We start from the raw sequence: 16,985 nt of genomic DNA, 5'->3' as shown, positions 1-16,985 counted from the left end.
CATTTTTCTCAAAATCTGATCTTAATGGCAGCTCATTATATAGACATAGTCAGTTTTTATTGTTAAGAAGTTATTCCATTTCTGAATAAGGAGTTGTCAGGGAGGTAAGCCAACAAGTTTAGTGTCATAACACCTTTGTGAAAATTTGAGTGTTTCAGTCTCTCTATATGATGCTTCATGCATTAGGGCTCATAATTAGTTCATAAAAGTAGAATTTTGAGAAACCTTTTCTATACAGTTTTGTCTCACTTTTTTTTTTTCATTTTTATAGTCACAGAAGATATAATGAGTTATAATATGTGATAAAATTAGTGGATCTTCTTCTTCTCTGGCCTTCCAAGTTTCCTATTGTCTGCATTCCAGTATCCTTTCCTATTCTTCATTATGCTAACTAGTTTTCCTAACATAGGAACCAAACATTCAGTTAATATTTTAGATGCCCCTTACTATTCAAACTCTCCCTTAATATCTAAAATTCAAAAACTGAATAGATGTGGATAATACCATATTTTCTTGTTAAACTAACTTGGTATCAGACTCTTATTATCTTAATTCAAAAGGTGAAATGAATTGGATATTCATTGTACAACTGCTTTCTAATATCTTTCAGTTTCCTCACTCTTATTTTCATCCTGATTTTAGGAAGAAAAATCATCCTGATTTGGTCTATGGAATAAATGGTAATATTCTTTGAAAGTTCTTATCAGCAAATTAATATCATGATAGCTTTTTTTCAGCCATTTAGTTCTTAATGTGCCTTCTTTTTCACTCAAGACATGGTTTGTTTTTTCTCATCAGTAGACAGTATGTTTTTATTATCCTCATTTTCCATCATCTTGTAGGCATTTAAGTGCAGATTTGATCACTTATGTAACTTTTCAGCAATTATTAAGGCTTTAAGAATTTTTTTCTATTATAGTCTTTCATTTTTTTAAATTTCATTTTTAGAAAGAGGGTCTTACGCTGTTGCCCAGGCTGCAGTATAGTGGCCCAGTCATGGCTCACTGGAGCCTTGACTTCCTGGGCTCAAGCTGTCCTCCTGCCTCAGCCTTCTGAGTAGCTAGGACAACAGGTGAGCAACACCATGCTTGGCTAATGTTGCCAAGGCTAGTCTCGAGCTCCTGGCCTCAAGCAATCCTCCTGTCTTGGCCTCCCAAAGTACTAAGTGCCTGAGTCACTGCACCCAGCCTCTATTATGGTCATTTTTGTTAATCAAAAATTTACATTCCATTGCTGGCTTATTCTTTATAAGGGCATGAGAGTTAATTAACGCTGCAAATATCCCAGAGACTTTATAGATGAATAATTTATCATTATTATACTATATTATATCTAAAACTTGTATTATTTTGGAAAAAGAGGAAAGATAGGTCTAGAGGGAACTGGAAGGAATCTAAACTCTTTGGTGTCAATGTTTAAACTGCTTTCTTGAAAAGAAAACATATTCTCTGAACAAAGATTCTTGTACCAAGTAAATCAATTTACTTTTCACAAGTAAGAGTAACTAATCAGGGTCTTTTTTATTAGCATCTGAGAACATATTTTCATTCCAGAAGTCTTCTCTTCACCATATTAAATTATGTAGTTCCTTCATCCTTTCCTTAGGGAAAGTTAATTTTCAACCCTGTATTTGATCTTGCTGCTATTCTGAATCCACTCCAGATGTCCTTGTCGCTGTTTGTGCTATCAACCTAGAAGCAAGGAAGTGCTAGGCATTTGCATTCATTAAGAGGGAACTGATAAAAATTTGCTATTGGATTCTGAATATTATAAAAAAAATATTAATTGAAATAAAAATAATATAAGGAAGTTAAGTAGAAATTTAGCTTATATGAGTAATCTAGGAATTTTAGTTTGAAAATTTTCTTTGTAAAATTGATACATTACATACATATTTTAGGGGTACATGATACATTCATATAATCAAATCAGGGAAATTTGGATGTCCATTACCTTAAATAGTTATCTTTTCTGTACACCAGGATCTTTTTAATTATTCTGTTCCAGCTATTTTGAAATGTATAATATATTAATGTTAACCATAGTCATCCTACTGCTCTATTGAACACCAGCTCTTATTTCTTCTATCAAACTGTGTTATTTATACCCATTAATCCACCTCTCTTCATTGCCTTCTCCCCTCTACTTTTCTAACCTCTGGTAACCACCAGTCTACTCTCTACTCCCTGTGTACTGTTGGTGGGAATGTAAATTAGTACAACCACCATGGAAGACAGTTTGGAGGTTCCTCAAAAAACTAAATATAGAACTACCATATGATCCAACAATTCCACTACTAGGTATATATATCTAAAAGAAAGGAAATCAATATATTGAAGAGATAATCTGCACTCCCGTGTTTATTGCAGTACTACTTACAGTAGCTAAAATATGGAATCAATCTAAGTGCCCATCAGTAGATTAAGGGATAAAGAAAATATGGTATATATACATGATGCAATGTTATTCATTCATAAAAAAGGAATGAAATCCTGTCACTGGCAGCAACATGAGTGGAACTGGAGATCATTATGTTAAGTGAAATAAGAGCGACACGGAAAGACAAATTTTACATGTTCTCACTCATATGTGGGAGCTAAAAAAAATAGATAGGAAATGTTCTTACCATCCATTCAGATAAATAGAATTCCCTGCAAAAGGTTGTGCCCTTAAGAAGTAGAAACTTTTCTGCATCATGGAATAATTTATGTGTTAATTCATGTATAACAATAAAATATTCAATATTTATTGAATAATATTCAATAGATTATCAGCTTTTAGTGATAAAAATGTGTAAAGTGCTTGGATTTATTGCCTGAATAAGGTTTAGAATGGGAATTTTTTTACCTCTGTGGTTTGATGGGTGAATTCTGAGGTCTGGGCACAGGAATTGTGGTGCCAACTCTTTATGTGACTTACTAGAACAACTTTTCCTAAGACTAAAATGACACTGCTGGCTGCTATTGTAGCCTTTTCTTCTTCAGAAATATCCCTGGCTTTCTATTGTGCCTTACATCATCTCTCAGCATTACCTTAGTCTTTGCATTCTAGTGTGTCATTGGCAAATGCCCTTGCCAATGCCCTCACCCTATCTTAAGACTTTTGCCTTAAAGTCAATGCCTGGACTTATATTAGTATAATGACAGCAGCATTGTTTATATTTGTGTGTTATGTCTTTTCTCATATCCTTTCACTTTTAACATTTTGATGTTCTTATATTTAAGGTATGTCTTCTGTAAGTAGCACATAATTGACTTTGTTGTTTGTTTTTTTATCCAGTATTCTACTTTTTTTCTTTTAGTTGGTGTTTTCGGACCATTTATACTTACTATAATAACTGATATATTTAGGTTTGTTTTCAATTTATCCCATCTGTTTTATGTTCCTTTTTCTGTTTTATTTTGTTTTTTTGTAGGATTAATTAAGTATTTTAAATTATTTTAATTTTCCAGCCCTCCCCTGCCCACATATTGGCTTGTTATTTATACATCCTTTTCATGGTCATGTTAAAGATTATGACAAGCATTTTGGGCACATTATTAGTTTAATATAAATTAAATTAATGTAAATTAACTTTAAATAACTTTCATACCTTTGATGTTATTGTTATATATTTTAATTATAAGTATATTGCTACATTTCAACTTTTTGCCTTGTATTATCAACATTTATTTAGATTTACTCATATATTCACTGTGCCTTTTGCTCTTCATTCCTTTCCACATTTCTGTATTTCTTGTCTATGATATGACATTTCTTTTCAAGGGTATTTGCCAGTGAAAGACATTTTTCTGTTGTTATTTGTTTGAAAATTCATTATTTTACCTTAACTTTTCAAACATCTTTTCAAGTGAAATTCTAGATTGTCAGTTATTTTCTTTCAGAAACTTAAGGATGTCATTCCATCATTCCTGTTCAGTGACCAACTGTTTTAATGTCATTTGTTTGAAGGCAATTTGTCCCCTTCCCCTTCCCCTTCCCCCAGCTGCTTTTAAGATTTTCTCTTTGACTGGTTTTCAGCAGTTTTACTGCCTGTCCATATACATGGTTTTCTTTGTACTTATTTTGCTTGGGGTTTGTAGATGTTCTTAAATCTGTGGATTAGTATCTTTCATTAGTTTTGTAAAGTTCTTGGCCTTTATCTTATCAGATATTGCTTCTGCCATATTCCATCTCTCCCTCTCTGGTATTCCAATTACATTCATATTAGACCTGTTTCATCATGACTCGCATTCTATTTCTATAATCTTTTTAGTATTTTTCTGTCTTTTTGCTCTTCAAGCTTCAGGCAAGGTATTTTCTTTTCTTTTTTCTTTTTCTTTCTTTCTTTCTTTTTTTTTTTTGAGACAGAGTCTCACTCTGTTGCCCAGGCTGGAGTGCAGTGTCACGATCTTGGCTCACTGCAACCTCTGCCTCTCAGGTTCAAGCAATTCTCCTGCCTCAACCTCCTGAGTAGCTGGGTTTAAAGGCATGCATCACCACACCCGGCTAAGTTTTGTACTTTTAGTAGAGACTGGGTTTCACCATGTTGGCCAGGCTGGTCTCAAACTCCTGACCTCAAGTGATCTGCCCACCTTGGCCTCCCAAAGTGTTGGGATTACAGGCGTGAGCCATCGCACCCAGCCCAGGCAAGGTATTTTCTACTGATTCTGTCATGAGTTACACCAGATTTATCTTCTGTTGTGTCTAGATTGCTGTTATTGAGTTCTTAATTTCACTTGTTAAATGTTTTTAAATTCTAGAACTTCCATTTTGATTTTTAAAAAAATAGATTCTGTTCTTTGTTACAACTTTCTGTCTTGTCTTCTTGACATATTAACCATAATTATTTTAGCATCTGTACCTGATAATACCAATAACCAAACCATTTGTGAGTTTGTTTCGATTCTTTTTTTTTCAATTGGTCTTGTTTGTTAAGTCTGGTAGTTTTAAAATGAATCCTTATCTTTATATATTAAAAGTTTTAGAATCTCTGGATTATCTCATTTTTCTCCAGAGAGGTTTTGCCTTGTCCTCTGATGGCCACAAAGAGTAGTGGCTGACTCAAGGCCGTGCTGCGATTTTAAGCCTCCTTTGATCTCTGGTTTGTCTCTGTTCTTAGAGTGTAGTATCTCAGGGATCCCTATACAGACCTTGTAGTATCTAGAACCTTTCTTCTCTGGTGGTCACTGAATACCAATTTTTGTCTCTTGTACATCTTGAGACTACCAAAACTTCTGTCTGCTTTTCAGGGACATTCTTCTTAGCTTCTTGTCCTCTTGTTCTATACAAATGAGTGTCAGACTTACCTTTTTTTTTTTTCACCTCTTTTCTCATCAAGACTTGGCCTTTCTTTCTTTACCTGAGTTCTCTGAATAATATAGTATAATATAATATTTCTTTCTTATAAAAGCTCTTTCTCTCACTCTTCTTAAGATTTCACCTCAGAATATGTGTTAGTTTAAAATTCCAGATGCACTTTTAAAATGTCTTTCTTAAAAAATCCACAATGAAAATGTATATTATTTTCTTATTTTTCTTCCTTTTTAGGTCCTCAAGTTCTGGCTGCATTGGCAGCTAAAAACTTTAATTTTTATCTCTCCAGTCTTCCAAGATTGCCAAAGACTCTTGGATTCTCTACTTCCTGGCAGCAGCTATATCCCCAAATTCTCAGCCTCTTGCTTTGTGCCAAGAATAACAATGGTAGATTCCCTCAGAGTTACAGTTTGTAGAATTTTGGATTACTTCCCTGTGGTTTCCTTCTCTCTAGGATCTTAGCCTTTCATTACTTGATTGTTTTGGTACCTTCAAATTTATTTTATTGGGCTTTCTAGTTGTTCTTGGTGGGAGCATTGCTATGCCCAAAGCTTCTCTGGCATAACCAGAAGTTATGGTTAAATCTTAGTGTTTTAGTCATTTTATTTAAAAGTGTTAATGAACAAGTAATGCATGCACACAATAAAATTTATACAAACAATAATAAAAAGTCACTTTTCCTCCTGTATTCCAGTCTTATAGTCTTTTTCTTTGGAGGCAAAGTTGCAGTTTATTATGTATCTATCTATCTATATCATGTATACATATATACAGGAATATAATCTAAATAATATCCAATAATATCCAAAAGAAAGGAAATCAATATATTGAAGAGATAATCTGCACTCCTATGTTTATTGCAGTACTACTTGCAGTAGCTAAAATATGGAATCAATCCAAGTGCCCATCAGTGGATTAAGGGATAAAGAAAATATGGTATATATACATGATGCGTCTTGTATATTGCAATATTATTCATTCATAAAAAAGAATGAAATCCTGTCATTTGCAGCAACATGGGTGGAACTGGAGATCATTATGTTAAGTGAAATAAGGCCGCCACAGAAAGACGAATTTTACATGTTCTCACTCATATGTGGGAGCTAAAAAAAATAGCTTTGATGACGTAGACAAGAATTGACAGAATAGAATTGATGAAGTAGACAAGAATACATATGTATACATGATATATGTATATCCTTCTTGTTATATTTCAAGTTCTATTTATAAAATATTTCAAACATGCTGAAAAGAATAGAGGATATAATAAAAATTGTTGTACCCACAACTCAGGTTTAAGAAAATGTTAACATTTTACCATATTTAGATTCTTTTTAGAGGGGGGGGCTGAGGAATAAAATGGTGTAATACACTTCAATCCCTATTTTAAAAATCTATTTTATTTAACAGTTCTTTTTTCTATTTAGTTTGGTTTTCAGGATTTATCCATGTTTATATGTATAGATCTCCCTTGTTCATTTTAGTTCACATATGGCATTCCTTTAATTACTCCTCTGCCAACCCCCATTTATTTTGTTGTTATTTGGTTTTGTTTACATAAATCTGAACATATTTTACTCTATATTCTAGACTTTATATTTCTTACAAAACCTCTTTATGTTTAAAGTATGTGATACCAAGAAAATTTACTTTATATCCCCTCTCAATTTGATGGAAAACTAAAAATAAAACGTATATTTGGGGACAAGTGTATGAGAGTCTTTAATGTCATGGTGATACATTGAGGCTTGTATAGAACATTTGGTGAATTCCAGATATATTGCAAATCTTTGATATGTCTACCTTTGGCATGTCCCAAGTTTTATAAATAGTGCATTTAGGAAAAATTACAAATTACCCTGACTCCTGTTTCTTTACCTTAATACTTCCAATATAATATAACATAACATAATATATAATGTAAATATTTCTCCTTAAGAATTTTTTTCTCTTATTCTTCATAAGACTTCACTTAACAGAATGTCTGTTAAATTAGCTTAAGTAATTTAGCTTCAGACAAGCTTTTTTTCCTTTCTTTTTATTTTAAATTTTAGGTACATTACAAATGGCAACGTATGGTAGTCTCTTATTTTTCTTCCTTTTTTAGGTCTGCAATATTTTGATAGCATTGTATTCAAAATTTATTGATTCATTTTATGTGCTTTAGCACTTTGCTAAGTATTATTGTGGATATTAATGGAATATAAGACATTATCTTGGCCCACATGGAGGCTAAAATTTAATTGAAGAGAAATAAACTGATCATTAGACCACTAACTGAAGTGCTAATGATGTGAAGTGAGATTTGGAGTAGACCATAAAGGATGATGAATATTTGATTTTAGAAAGCAAAGAGGGGAACATCTTTATGATACCAGCTAGGTGAAGCTTGAAGAGTTTCACCATTATGCAGCTGAGGGTACACATTTGCGATAATGGGAAATTAAGTGAAGTAGCAGCAGAGGGTCATCAATAGTCCAGGAAGATTAGAATTGATGAAGTAGACAGTGAGATGCCCATATCAATTGTAAGTGAGAGGATGCAATCAGTATTTTAGGAAGCTGAGTGGATCAGAGCAAGAGGAAGGAGGTCAACTAGAAAGCTTTTATGGAAATTTGGGAAATTCAACTTAGATATAGCCTTCCAAAAAATGCCTATGCACTTTGGCACAGTAATTGCTATACTAAGGCTTCTGGGAAAACACTTCAAAATGTGTGGTATCTGAAGGTACAGAGAACTGGATCAAAGCAACATTTTAAAGTAACTTGTTTTTCTTTCATGTGTTTTTGCCTTGTGGCACCTTTTCCCTCCAAATCCCAGTGAATCCAGTGGTGGGGAATTTTCCTGCAGTCTGCAACATGAGAACCCAGTGTGGTTGGGTTCCCCTGAGTTGGAATATCTGGGAGCTCTTAGAGTAGGCACAGATTCTTTTTTTATTTTTTGTAGAAATGAGGTCTTGCTTTGTTGCCCAAGCTGGTCTCGAATGCCTGACCTCTAGTGATCCTCCTACCTCGGTCCCCCAAAGTGCTGGGACTACAAGCATGAACCACTGTCCCAAGCCAAAGCACAGATCCTTAATCAGAGTATCCCATAGAACTCTGAGAGAGTTCATAGATAAGCTTCTGGGTTTATGAATTTTCTGAAATTATATTTTAAATTTTGGATTATGTACATTTTCTAGACAAGAGTTTCAGATTCTGAAAGAAGTCTCTGACCCTCCCCCCTCCCAAATTAATAATTACTGCTTAAAAGATTTACTTTGTACAAGTCTCAGTCCTATCTCTTCAGAGACTGCTTGAGCCAAGTAGAAAGAAGATAAGTGATTATATTATGTCGACCCATGTGCAGTTGCCAATATTTAATTTAGTAGTTTTTGGCCTATGAAACATCAATTTCATGTGATCCAACCTAATATAGCCTTAAATAACTTTGCATGCATTTTTAAAATGTAAAGCCATTCATTTTAGACATGTAGGTTTTAGTTAAGCAGCATATATTCAAATTTGAATTTAAATATATAGATTTATTTCATTAAGACAATTAAATTCTGGTTATATTTCCTCAATTTCTACATTCCATAAATTTAATGACTTTAGTTTTATGTAGTTTCGGGTTATGCAGTATTTTTTGGGAGTATTTCTCTTGTGTATTTAGTGTTTCTACTCTGGTAAAACAGGATAGGGAAATGGTGGAAAGAGAAATGAAAGAGGAACGAAGAAGGTATATGATATAGTATAAAAATAGCAAATACGTTCAAATTATTCATTAACTTCCAATGGTGGTTAGTCTCTGCCTGGAGCTCTTTGATAATAAGAATTCTCAGGCCCTGTTTGGCTCAGGGATAAAAAGAACATTGATGGATCTGTCCTCAATCACGTGAAGTCTGCCATGAGCACAGGACAACTGAGTGGCAGAGCTCATGCCATACGTTTGGTGTTCTGCTAATTACTTCAATTTAATCAGAATTTCTTTGTTAGCCAGAGTATTACATTTCTTCAGAATGATGGATTATATGACTTTCATAAGTGTAGTTTGGCATTTGAAACTTCGAGTCAAGAAAACCAAATTTAACTATAAGCTATTTCTTGGAAGACTTCAGAGAACAAACAGCAATTCAGGTTTTTTTCTTTGATTTTTGTTTTGTTTGCTGTTTTGTAATTTTCACTATCTTTGTTTTTTAATTAAGGGGAAAAAAGAAACATATACTTGGAATGAGGAAACCCTTTAAACCTATTCTTTTTTTTATATATAGACTGCTTTCTGATTCCAAACAGTTCAACATTTTAAGAAAAGCAAGATCTTATATAAAACACAGAAAGTTTGATGAAGTGGTAAGTATACCGGCCTTATAGACATAAATAGCTGATTATCATTTTGGGGATGGAGAGGAGAAAAATAGAGCAAAGTAGGCAGGCCAGGGAGCTTTCTTGAGCCCTCAAGGAAGGATTGCATTTCCTGAGTAGCTGCTTTAGCAGTGGACAGATCTCTCTTATTTCAACTAATATTATGGGTAAATTTTTTTTTTTTTTTTTGAGACAGAGTGTCGCTGTTGCCCAGGCTGGAGTGCAGTGGCACAATCTCAGCTCACTGCAACCTCCGCCTCCCAGGTTCAAGCAATCCTCCTGCCTCAGCCTCCTGAGTAGCTGGGATTACAGGCATGCGCCACAACACCCAGCTAGTTTTTGTATTTTTAGTAGAGATGGGGTTTTGCCATGTTGGCCAGGCTGGTCTTGAACTTCTGACATCAGGTGATCCACCCGCCTTGGCTTCCCAAAGTGCTGGGATTACAGGCATGAGCCACCGCACCCGGCCCACATTTTTTTAGGTTAGCATTAGAAATAAACTATTACCATTTTTTAAAATGAGAAAATAGATGCCAAGTTTGTGTCACCCTTCTTAATGTATAATATTTTAGAATACTATATGTTTGCCACTTGGAATTATCTATACATTATTAAAAGTCTAATGATTCATGTTGAAATTTTGACTCTTCCAAACTCCTATCTCACTGTTTTTCATTAATTTTTCTTTGTTAAATGGTCATTTAATTTTAAAGTAGAAAAGAATTCTGTTTTCATTTCTAAAATTGCCTAAATAATTGCCAATCCGTGCATTTCTAATGCTTTTTTTGATGATTTTAAAATGATAAGCTATTCTTCTCCTGTAAAATATTAAGCTACTTAATGATGTTTTATAACTGATTTGAGTAATCTCATATGAGAAAAAATATAAATATGGCCATTATCATTATTTGGGACCTATATTAGAGAGCCTTCATTTCTTTTATGAGTTGTCTGAATATCATTTCCACAAACACACATATACAACACAAATAGTTTACATTTAAAATGCCCTTTCTTATTAAGATTAAAAAGTTCATTTTATTCCAAATTTTTCTCATACTTTAAAAGAAGATCCTGGAACAATTAAAATCTGTTCTTAATCCATCATCTACAGTTATTCACTAATTTTAATACAACAGTTTGGCTGTTAGGAATTTAAAATTTTCCTTTCTTTAAAATGTAGGTTTTCTTATTATTTCTGTTAGCAAGTTATATATGTTTTTTCTCCATAGGTCTCCCTTTGCAAGGAGCTAATTCATCTTGCATTGAAAGGATTGTCCTATTATCACACATATGACAGATTCTTTTTGGGCGTCAATGTTGTTATTGGTTTTGTGGGATGGATATCTTATGCCTCTTTGTTGATCATCAAGTCTCATTCCAACCTTATAAAAGGTGTTAGTAAAGAAGTGAAGGTACGTTTAGAAAATGTGAGGATTCAGATGATGGTATAAAATCACTAGTACTGAATCCAGTGTAATGAGTTTATAGGATGTGCAAGTCATTGTTCTAAGCTAACTCTTGTTTATCTTTCATTTGCTTTTATTGTATTGGATTTTTCCTCAGTTATCTCTGTTTCTTCAGTTGAGAAAAAGATATATTGATAATAATGATCCTATAACTTAAGAAAGCTATAAAGATAGAGGTGTAAGTAATTTAAGTGCTCCTATGTTATCAATGGTGTCGACCTTCTGTTTTATTTTATAACTAGCATTTTATAAGTATTCCATATCTTTCTAGTACAACTGGTCAGAAAACTACTTCAAAACAATATGTTTAATTTTATTTGATATTAAAAGTTTGGGAGCTAGAGAACAATAAAATTATTTGCTCATAATGTTTCTTCTTAAATGATGTATACATTTTTTAATTACTTACCTTCTTTTAACTTTTTGAAGTTTCTCAAAATGCAGATTTCTAGACCTCTCCAAGTATTCTTATTTTAAGAATTTGTTCCTACTTTACTATGCTTTCAGTGAAAAAATAAAAATTAAAAAAATCTCTTTAATGATACTTCATATTGCTGAGACAATATAACAGTATGTATATGGTTTTACTACATTAAAACACTTTACTCTTTTAAAATATATTTCTAACTATCATTTACCAGGGGCACTATGCCACTTTCATTTCCTTTGCTTCATTCTCTTTAATGATTATTACCATGTTCAAGTTCTCTAAAAAGTAATATATCCTGGTGGTGTATTTTTAATAATAGTCTGCAGATATTTCCAGTGGTAACTTTTCCAATTTTATATTTTATTATTCTGTAATGGAAGTAAGGCCATTAGTGTTTATTATAATTTTGTATAATGCTTTAATGTATCTTAAATAATTTCCCCCAAGTAATTTTAATTATTTGAGTGTATGTGAAATTGGCTGGAATGGGAATTGTATCTAGGCATTCTTAGAACTCATAACAGTGCTAGAAGTAGACATAATTTATGTTTGCAAAAAAGGAAGCTGAAGCTGAGGAGGATTAAGTTACTTATTAAAGGCCACTCAGATAGCATGTGAGGGACTGAGACTTTAATCCAGAGCAGTCGTGGGCCAGAGAGTGCCTTTTCATGTTTATCTTAATATTCAGTTTATTGAGAAAAAAATATGTTTTTATATTGATATGTTAACAAGATTTCATAGCTGATAGTTCTTCATTATTCGTTAATCTGATAATACAGCCAATATTTAATTGAGTGTATGGTACAATGCTAGATGCTGGCAAGGGTATCCAATCTTTTGGCTACCCTAAGCCACATTGGAAAAAGAATAATTGTCCTGGGGCACACATAAAATACACTATCAACAGCTGATGAGCTTTAAAGCTCATTCAAAGCTGTCCTGGACCACAGGTGGCCTGTGGGCTGCAGACTGGACAAGCTTGCTGTATAGGCTATACAAAGAAATAAAAGATTCAGATTCTACCATCAAGAAGCTTAGAATTTAATAAAGTAGGTAAGAGATGTACACATATAACCAACCACCTTACCAGGCATAAGTCACTATATCTACACTCGACTACAAAAGAAAACTTTAAGATATGTAAAGTGTTTGGGATAATAAAAAGACTATCATATTTTAAATATGAGAGCTGACTTTAGGGTGACGATAACAGGAAAAAGTAAGTCTTGGTGGGAGTTTAACAGTCAGAATCTAGGGAGAGGTTGAGAATTAAAGCAAACTGAATGATGTAAACAGAGGCAGATTTGGGAAGATGTACTGTTCTTCTGGGTTAATAGTAGTATGTATTGAGCCCCACTGTTCCAGGACTGCCCTGGGTGCTTTATGTAAGTTATTTAGTTAGGCTTAACACTACCCTAAATTTGGTGGTTATGATTCTCATAATATAGATGGAGGGATTTAGGCTCAGAAAAATTACCTGTTTTCCACAAGGACACATGGGTTTTAAATGACAGAACCCATATTTTCTGACACTTGAATTCTTTCTCTTTCTATGCCATGCTTCCTTCAAAATAAATAGTTCACTTTGTATAGAATGTGGGAGGTTTGTTCGAGGGACTGATAAGAAATAATACAATATAGATTAGGCCGAAGTAATCAAAGGCTTCAAATGCTGGACTACAGCATTTACACTTTATTTAGTGAGGAGTTTGGTACGTTAATAAAAACCAGAGAAATAGAACCAGGCTATATATATATATAATATATATACATATTTATATATATATATGTATTATATATATATTTTTTATTATGCTTTAAGTTCTAGGGTACATGTGCACAATGTGCAGGTTTGTTACATATGTACACATGTGCCATGTAGTATAAGAAATTGGCTTATGTGATTGTGGGGCCTAGTTAGGCAAGTCCTAAATTCACAGGTCAGGCTGTCAGGAAAGGCAGACTGAACTCGCCAGCAGGAGCTGAAGCTGCACTCAACAGGTAGAATTTCTCCTTTAGGGAACCCTTAGTTTTGCTCTTAAAGGTTTTCAACGGATTGAATGAGGACTACCCAGATTATCTAGGATAATCTCCTGTACTTAAAGTCCCTGACCTTTACACCATGCAGACTATCACTAGTGAATTAGATTGATGAATTCTCTGTTTTGGCAGGTGATTGGGAATAGTGCATATGACTGAATGAAGTTTCTATTGGGTGGGCAATAGAGAGAGAAGCTTAGATAGCTTGTCACATTGGAGCTTGAATAGATAAGACATTGTTCCAAATGATAATTAAGTCCCATACCTTATTATGGATTAAATAGGCTTTTGCGAGTTATCCAGAGAACTCAATCAACATTTATAAAATATTCCTAAAAGGAAACATGTTCAGAATTCTGAACAAGTTACTTGCAAACAAACTTTAAGGCCATAGTCACTTTTAAGTTGAGAATTGCTTAATTGCAGCAATTCCAGGTTATCTAGGTTTTTCCTCTCTAATATGCTCCTCAAATAATAGATTTTTTTCCTTGTCTTAATGCAGCTCTTTGATTAATCATCTAGTAGTATAACCATTGAAAGAAAGTAATAGGTTTTCTTTACTTTATAAAATCTCTTTTAAAACCTATCAATTACCATTGGTTTGGAAGTGTTTCAATGTTTTGTTTGATTTTTCAGAAACCAAGCCATCTCCTGCCTTGTAGTTTTGTAGCTATTGGCATTTTAGTAGCATTTTTTCTGCTGATTCAAGCCTGTCCCTGGACATATTATGTATATGGTTTGTTGCCACTGCCAATATGGTATGCGGTTCTAAGAGAGTAAGTAATGCATCTTGCTGCCTTGTTTTTTCACTTCATTGACAGTTAAATCTGTATTTAAAATGCAGTAGATTTCTGTACCATAAGTCATCAAATATATTTATAATACTGTACTTTCAAACCTCCAGTCCCTCTCACTTCATTTATAACTGCATAAATGTTGAGTAGGATATAAACATTCTTTCTGTTGTACTTTTCCCTTTTGACTTCATCTTTATTTTTCTGAAGTGGCAGTGTTCACTTCTTTGTGTATCTTTTATAGAAAAAAAATGGAATAAAAGTAACGATTAATATTGATCATACTATGCCTAGACTAACTTGCATTTTGAACTTGTGTCATCATCTCAGATTCCAATATATCTTCATATTTGACAAAGATATTTGCATGTTTTATTTCCATACATTTTGACTCCTCCTTTCCTAGCGATTGTGTAGATCTAGATAAATTAAACTTTGTAGTTAAATCTAATACGGTTATATTTACACACAGAGATTAGTCTATATTTTTCACATGTGCTGTGGTTCTACCTGTAAGTGCTTCCTCACAGGTTGTACTTAAAATAGAGTGTATTGTTAACATTGTAGAAAACATTAGAAGTAAGGCTCTTTGGTGAGTTTCAAACACTTTTAATAAAACCACTAGAAGGGAGTACTAGTTCATGCTCACTGGCAGCTGGAGTCATGTTGCAGATCTTATTGGTTTCTATTTTTACACCAGTAATCTATAATTTAAACTTAGTCATGGATATCAAAGTATTTTCTGAGCAAACCAGACCCCTAAAGTCAATGAAAGAATGAGAGCCTATTATAATAAGGGTATCCCCAAGGTTGGCTTAACATGTGCATCGTGACACTATGCATAATTTTATTCTAATTTTTCTTAACTTTAGCTTTGACTGCTTCTTCCTTCTTTTAAAACATGATGTATTAAAAATATTTCGGAGTTGGCTGGGTGCAAGGGCTCACGCCTGTAATCCCAGCACTTTGGGAGGCCAAGGCAGGTGGATCACTTGAGGTCAGGAGTTCGAGACCAGCCTGACCAACATGGCAAAATGTTTCTACTAAAAATACAAAAATTAGCTGGGCATGGTGGTATGCACCTGTAATTCCAGCTACTCAGGAGGCTGAGGCATGAGAATTGCTTGAACCCAGGAGGTGGAGGTTGCAGTGAGCCAAGATTGCACCACTGCACTCCAGCCTGAGCGACAGAGTGAGACTCTGTCTCAAAAAAAAAAATTAACTTAAAAATATCAAAAATTAATATTAATATTAAAATGCTTAAAATATTAACTATAAGGCAAAAAGACACTGATCAAATAACATATTGTTACCTCTCCATTTGAAAGGAATAGGGTTGTTGCATACGCATATTTAACTCAGATTTTTAAAAATGTCATTTAGTCTGGTTTTTAAACTTTTAGAACAAAAGGTTTTGTCTTTGCAGAAAATTGTATCTAGTACAGAACCCCTCCTGAATTATTAAATGTCCTAATTATGAAGAAAACATATATATTTAAATTTTAAGGGAAAACATGATTTTGAAAGTATGTTGTGTCCTATCTTTATCTTTTTGATAGATTGTATAGGAAAAAGACATAAAAATTCACAGTCTTCTAAATGATTTTACAAAATCATCTGTTGATCCTCTGTGCTTATTCATTGTTAAGAATAAAAGAAACATTCCCCTTTTGACTGGTGTTAGCTTTTCTTTCCTACATGGCACCTTCCTCATTTTGATGAAATTCTGCAGCTGTTGCTTTCAGTCAGAGAAAGGTCATAAACCAAATGATACTGACCTTCTAAAATTACCTACTTAATAATGCACTACAAATGTTAACTTTTTTTCCTAGTGATGAAATGTAAAAAGTACTCAAGTATGTAATACATTTTTGATGGTTATGAGTTCACTTGATTACCGTTAGTGTACAATTAGTGACATCTTAAATTGGGTTTGGAAAAGGTTATTTAGCTCAGTTAGAAAATGTAATTAAGATTTTTCTCTAACTAGATTAGGAAACCCTACCTTTATTTCATTAAGATTTAAATATAGGATTACTTGGGTGAATTTTAAAAAATTTTTCAGTTTATATGCATTTGGATTCATTGTGTTTTATATTGATGTTGTATCTGTAATTGTATGAATCCGTGTTTAAACTAAGATCAAACAAGATTCATTTATTGTCATTAATGCTTATAAAAACCAAGCAAACTTTTGTGATCATTTTCTTTTTTTTTTTTTTGAGACAGCGTTTCGCTCTTGTTGTCCGGGCTGGAGTGCAATGGCATGATCTCAGCTGACTGCAACCTCCACCTCCCAGGTTCAAGCTATTCTCCTGTCTCAGCCTCCTGAGTAGCTGGGATTACAGGCATGTGCCATCACGCCTGGCTAATTTTGTATTTTTAGTGAGATGGGGTTTCACCATGTTGGCCAGGCTGGTCTCAAACTTGTGACCTCAGGTGATCCGCCCTCTTCAGCCTCCCAAAGTGCTGGGATTACAGGCCTGAGCCACTGCACCTGGCTGATCGTTTTCAAATTAATTCAGAAATTACATTTTCCCTAAAATACTTCTAGATTAAAAAAAAATAGGTAAATAAAGCCCTTGAAACAAATCCGTTAGAGCTTATTTTAGTT

The 16,985-nt window shown here is 33.6% G+C and overlaps 1 protein-coding gene across 47 annotated transcripts in view, besides 4 other annotated features; it reads left to right on the top strand.

Moving 5' to 3' along the window:
• Positions 1–16,985, top strand: part of PIGN (phosphatidylinositol glycan anchor biosynthesis class N) — a 169,442-nt gene that overhangs the window by 62,870 nt on the left and 89,587 nt on the right. For 31 of the 47 annotated variants that reach the window (XM_047437431.1, XM_047437439.1, XM_011525894.2 and 28 more), the window contains 3 exons: positions 9,548–9,626; positions 10,871–11,053; positions 14,214–14,353. The exons of the other annotated variants lie outside the window; for them this stretch is intronic. In XM_047437431.1, the coding sequence (XP_047293387.1) occupies positions 9,548–9,626; positions 10,871–11,053; positions 14,214–14,353 (402 nt within the window). The remainder of the gene's footprint in view (positions 1–9,547; positions 9,627–10,870; positions 11,054–14,213; positions 14,354–16,985) is intronic. 47 annotated transcript variants of the gene reach the window in all.
• Positions 6,257–6,426: an enhancer, noted in NCBI's record as "experimental_48746 CRE fragment used in MPRA reporter constructs". NCBI's record gives its function as "activates a minimal promoter by MPRAs in K562 erythroleukemia cells, with activity observed for both the introgressed and non-introgressed 18:59785079 variant alleles {active_cell/tissue: K562}" and the evidence as "EXISTENCE:reporter gene assay evidence [ECO:0000049][PMID:34662402]".
• Positions 9,381–9,550: an enhancer, noted in NCBI's record as "experimental_48738 CRE fragment used in MPRA reporter constructs". NCBI's record gives its function as "activates a minimal promoter by MPRAs in K562 erythroleukemia cells, with activity observed for both the introgressed and non-introgressed 18:59781955 variant alleles {active_cell/tissue: K562}" and the evidence as "EXISTENCE:reporter gene assay evidence [ECO:0000049][PMID:34662402]".
• Positions 13,084–13,253: an enhancer, noted in NCBI's record as "experimental_48726/48728 CRE fragment used in MPRA reporter constructs". NCBI's record gives its function as "activates a minimal promoter by MPRAs in K562 erythroleukemia cells, with activity observed for both the introgressed and non-introgressed 18:59778252 or rs17642003 variant alleles {active_cell/tissue: K562}" and the evidence as "EXISTENCE:reporter gene assay evidence [ECO:0000049][PMID:34662402]".
• Position 13,168: a transcriptional cis regulatory region, noted in NCBI's record as "Neanderthal adaptively introgressed variant 18:59778252 (GRCh37/hg19 assembly coordinates) or rs17642003 in the experimental_48726/48728 CRE". NCBI's record gives its function as "modulates activity of the experimental_48726/48728 enhancer by MPRAs in K562 erythroleukemia cells {active_cell/tissue: K562}" and the evidence as "EXISTENCE:reporter gene assay evidence [ECO:0000049][PMID:34662402]".

The sequence above is a fragment of the Homo sapiens genome, chromosome 18 (genome assembly GCF_000001405.40).
Source record: "Homo sapiens chromosome 18, GRCh38.p14 Primary Assembly".
NCBI classification, from domain to species: Eukaryota; Metazoa; Chordata; class Mammalia; order Primates; family Hominidae; genus Homo; species Homo sapiens.
This window is presented reverse-complemented; position numbering and strand designations above follow the sequence as displayed.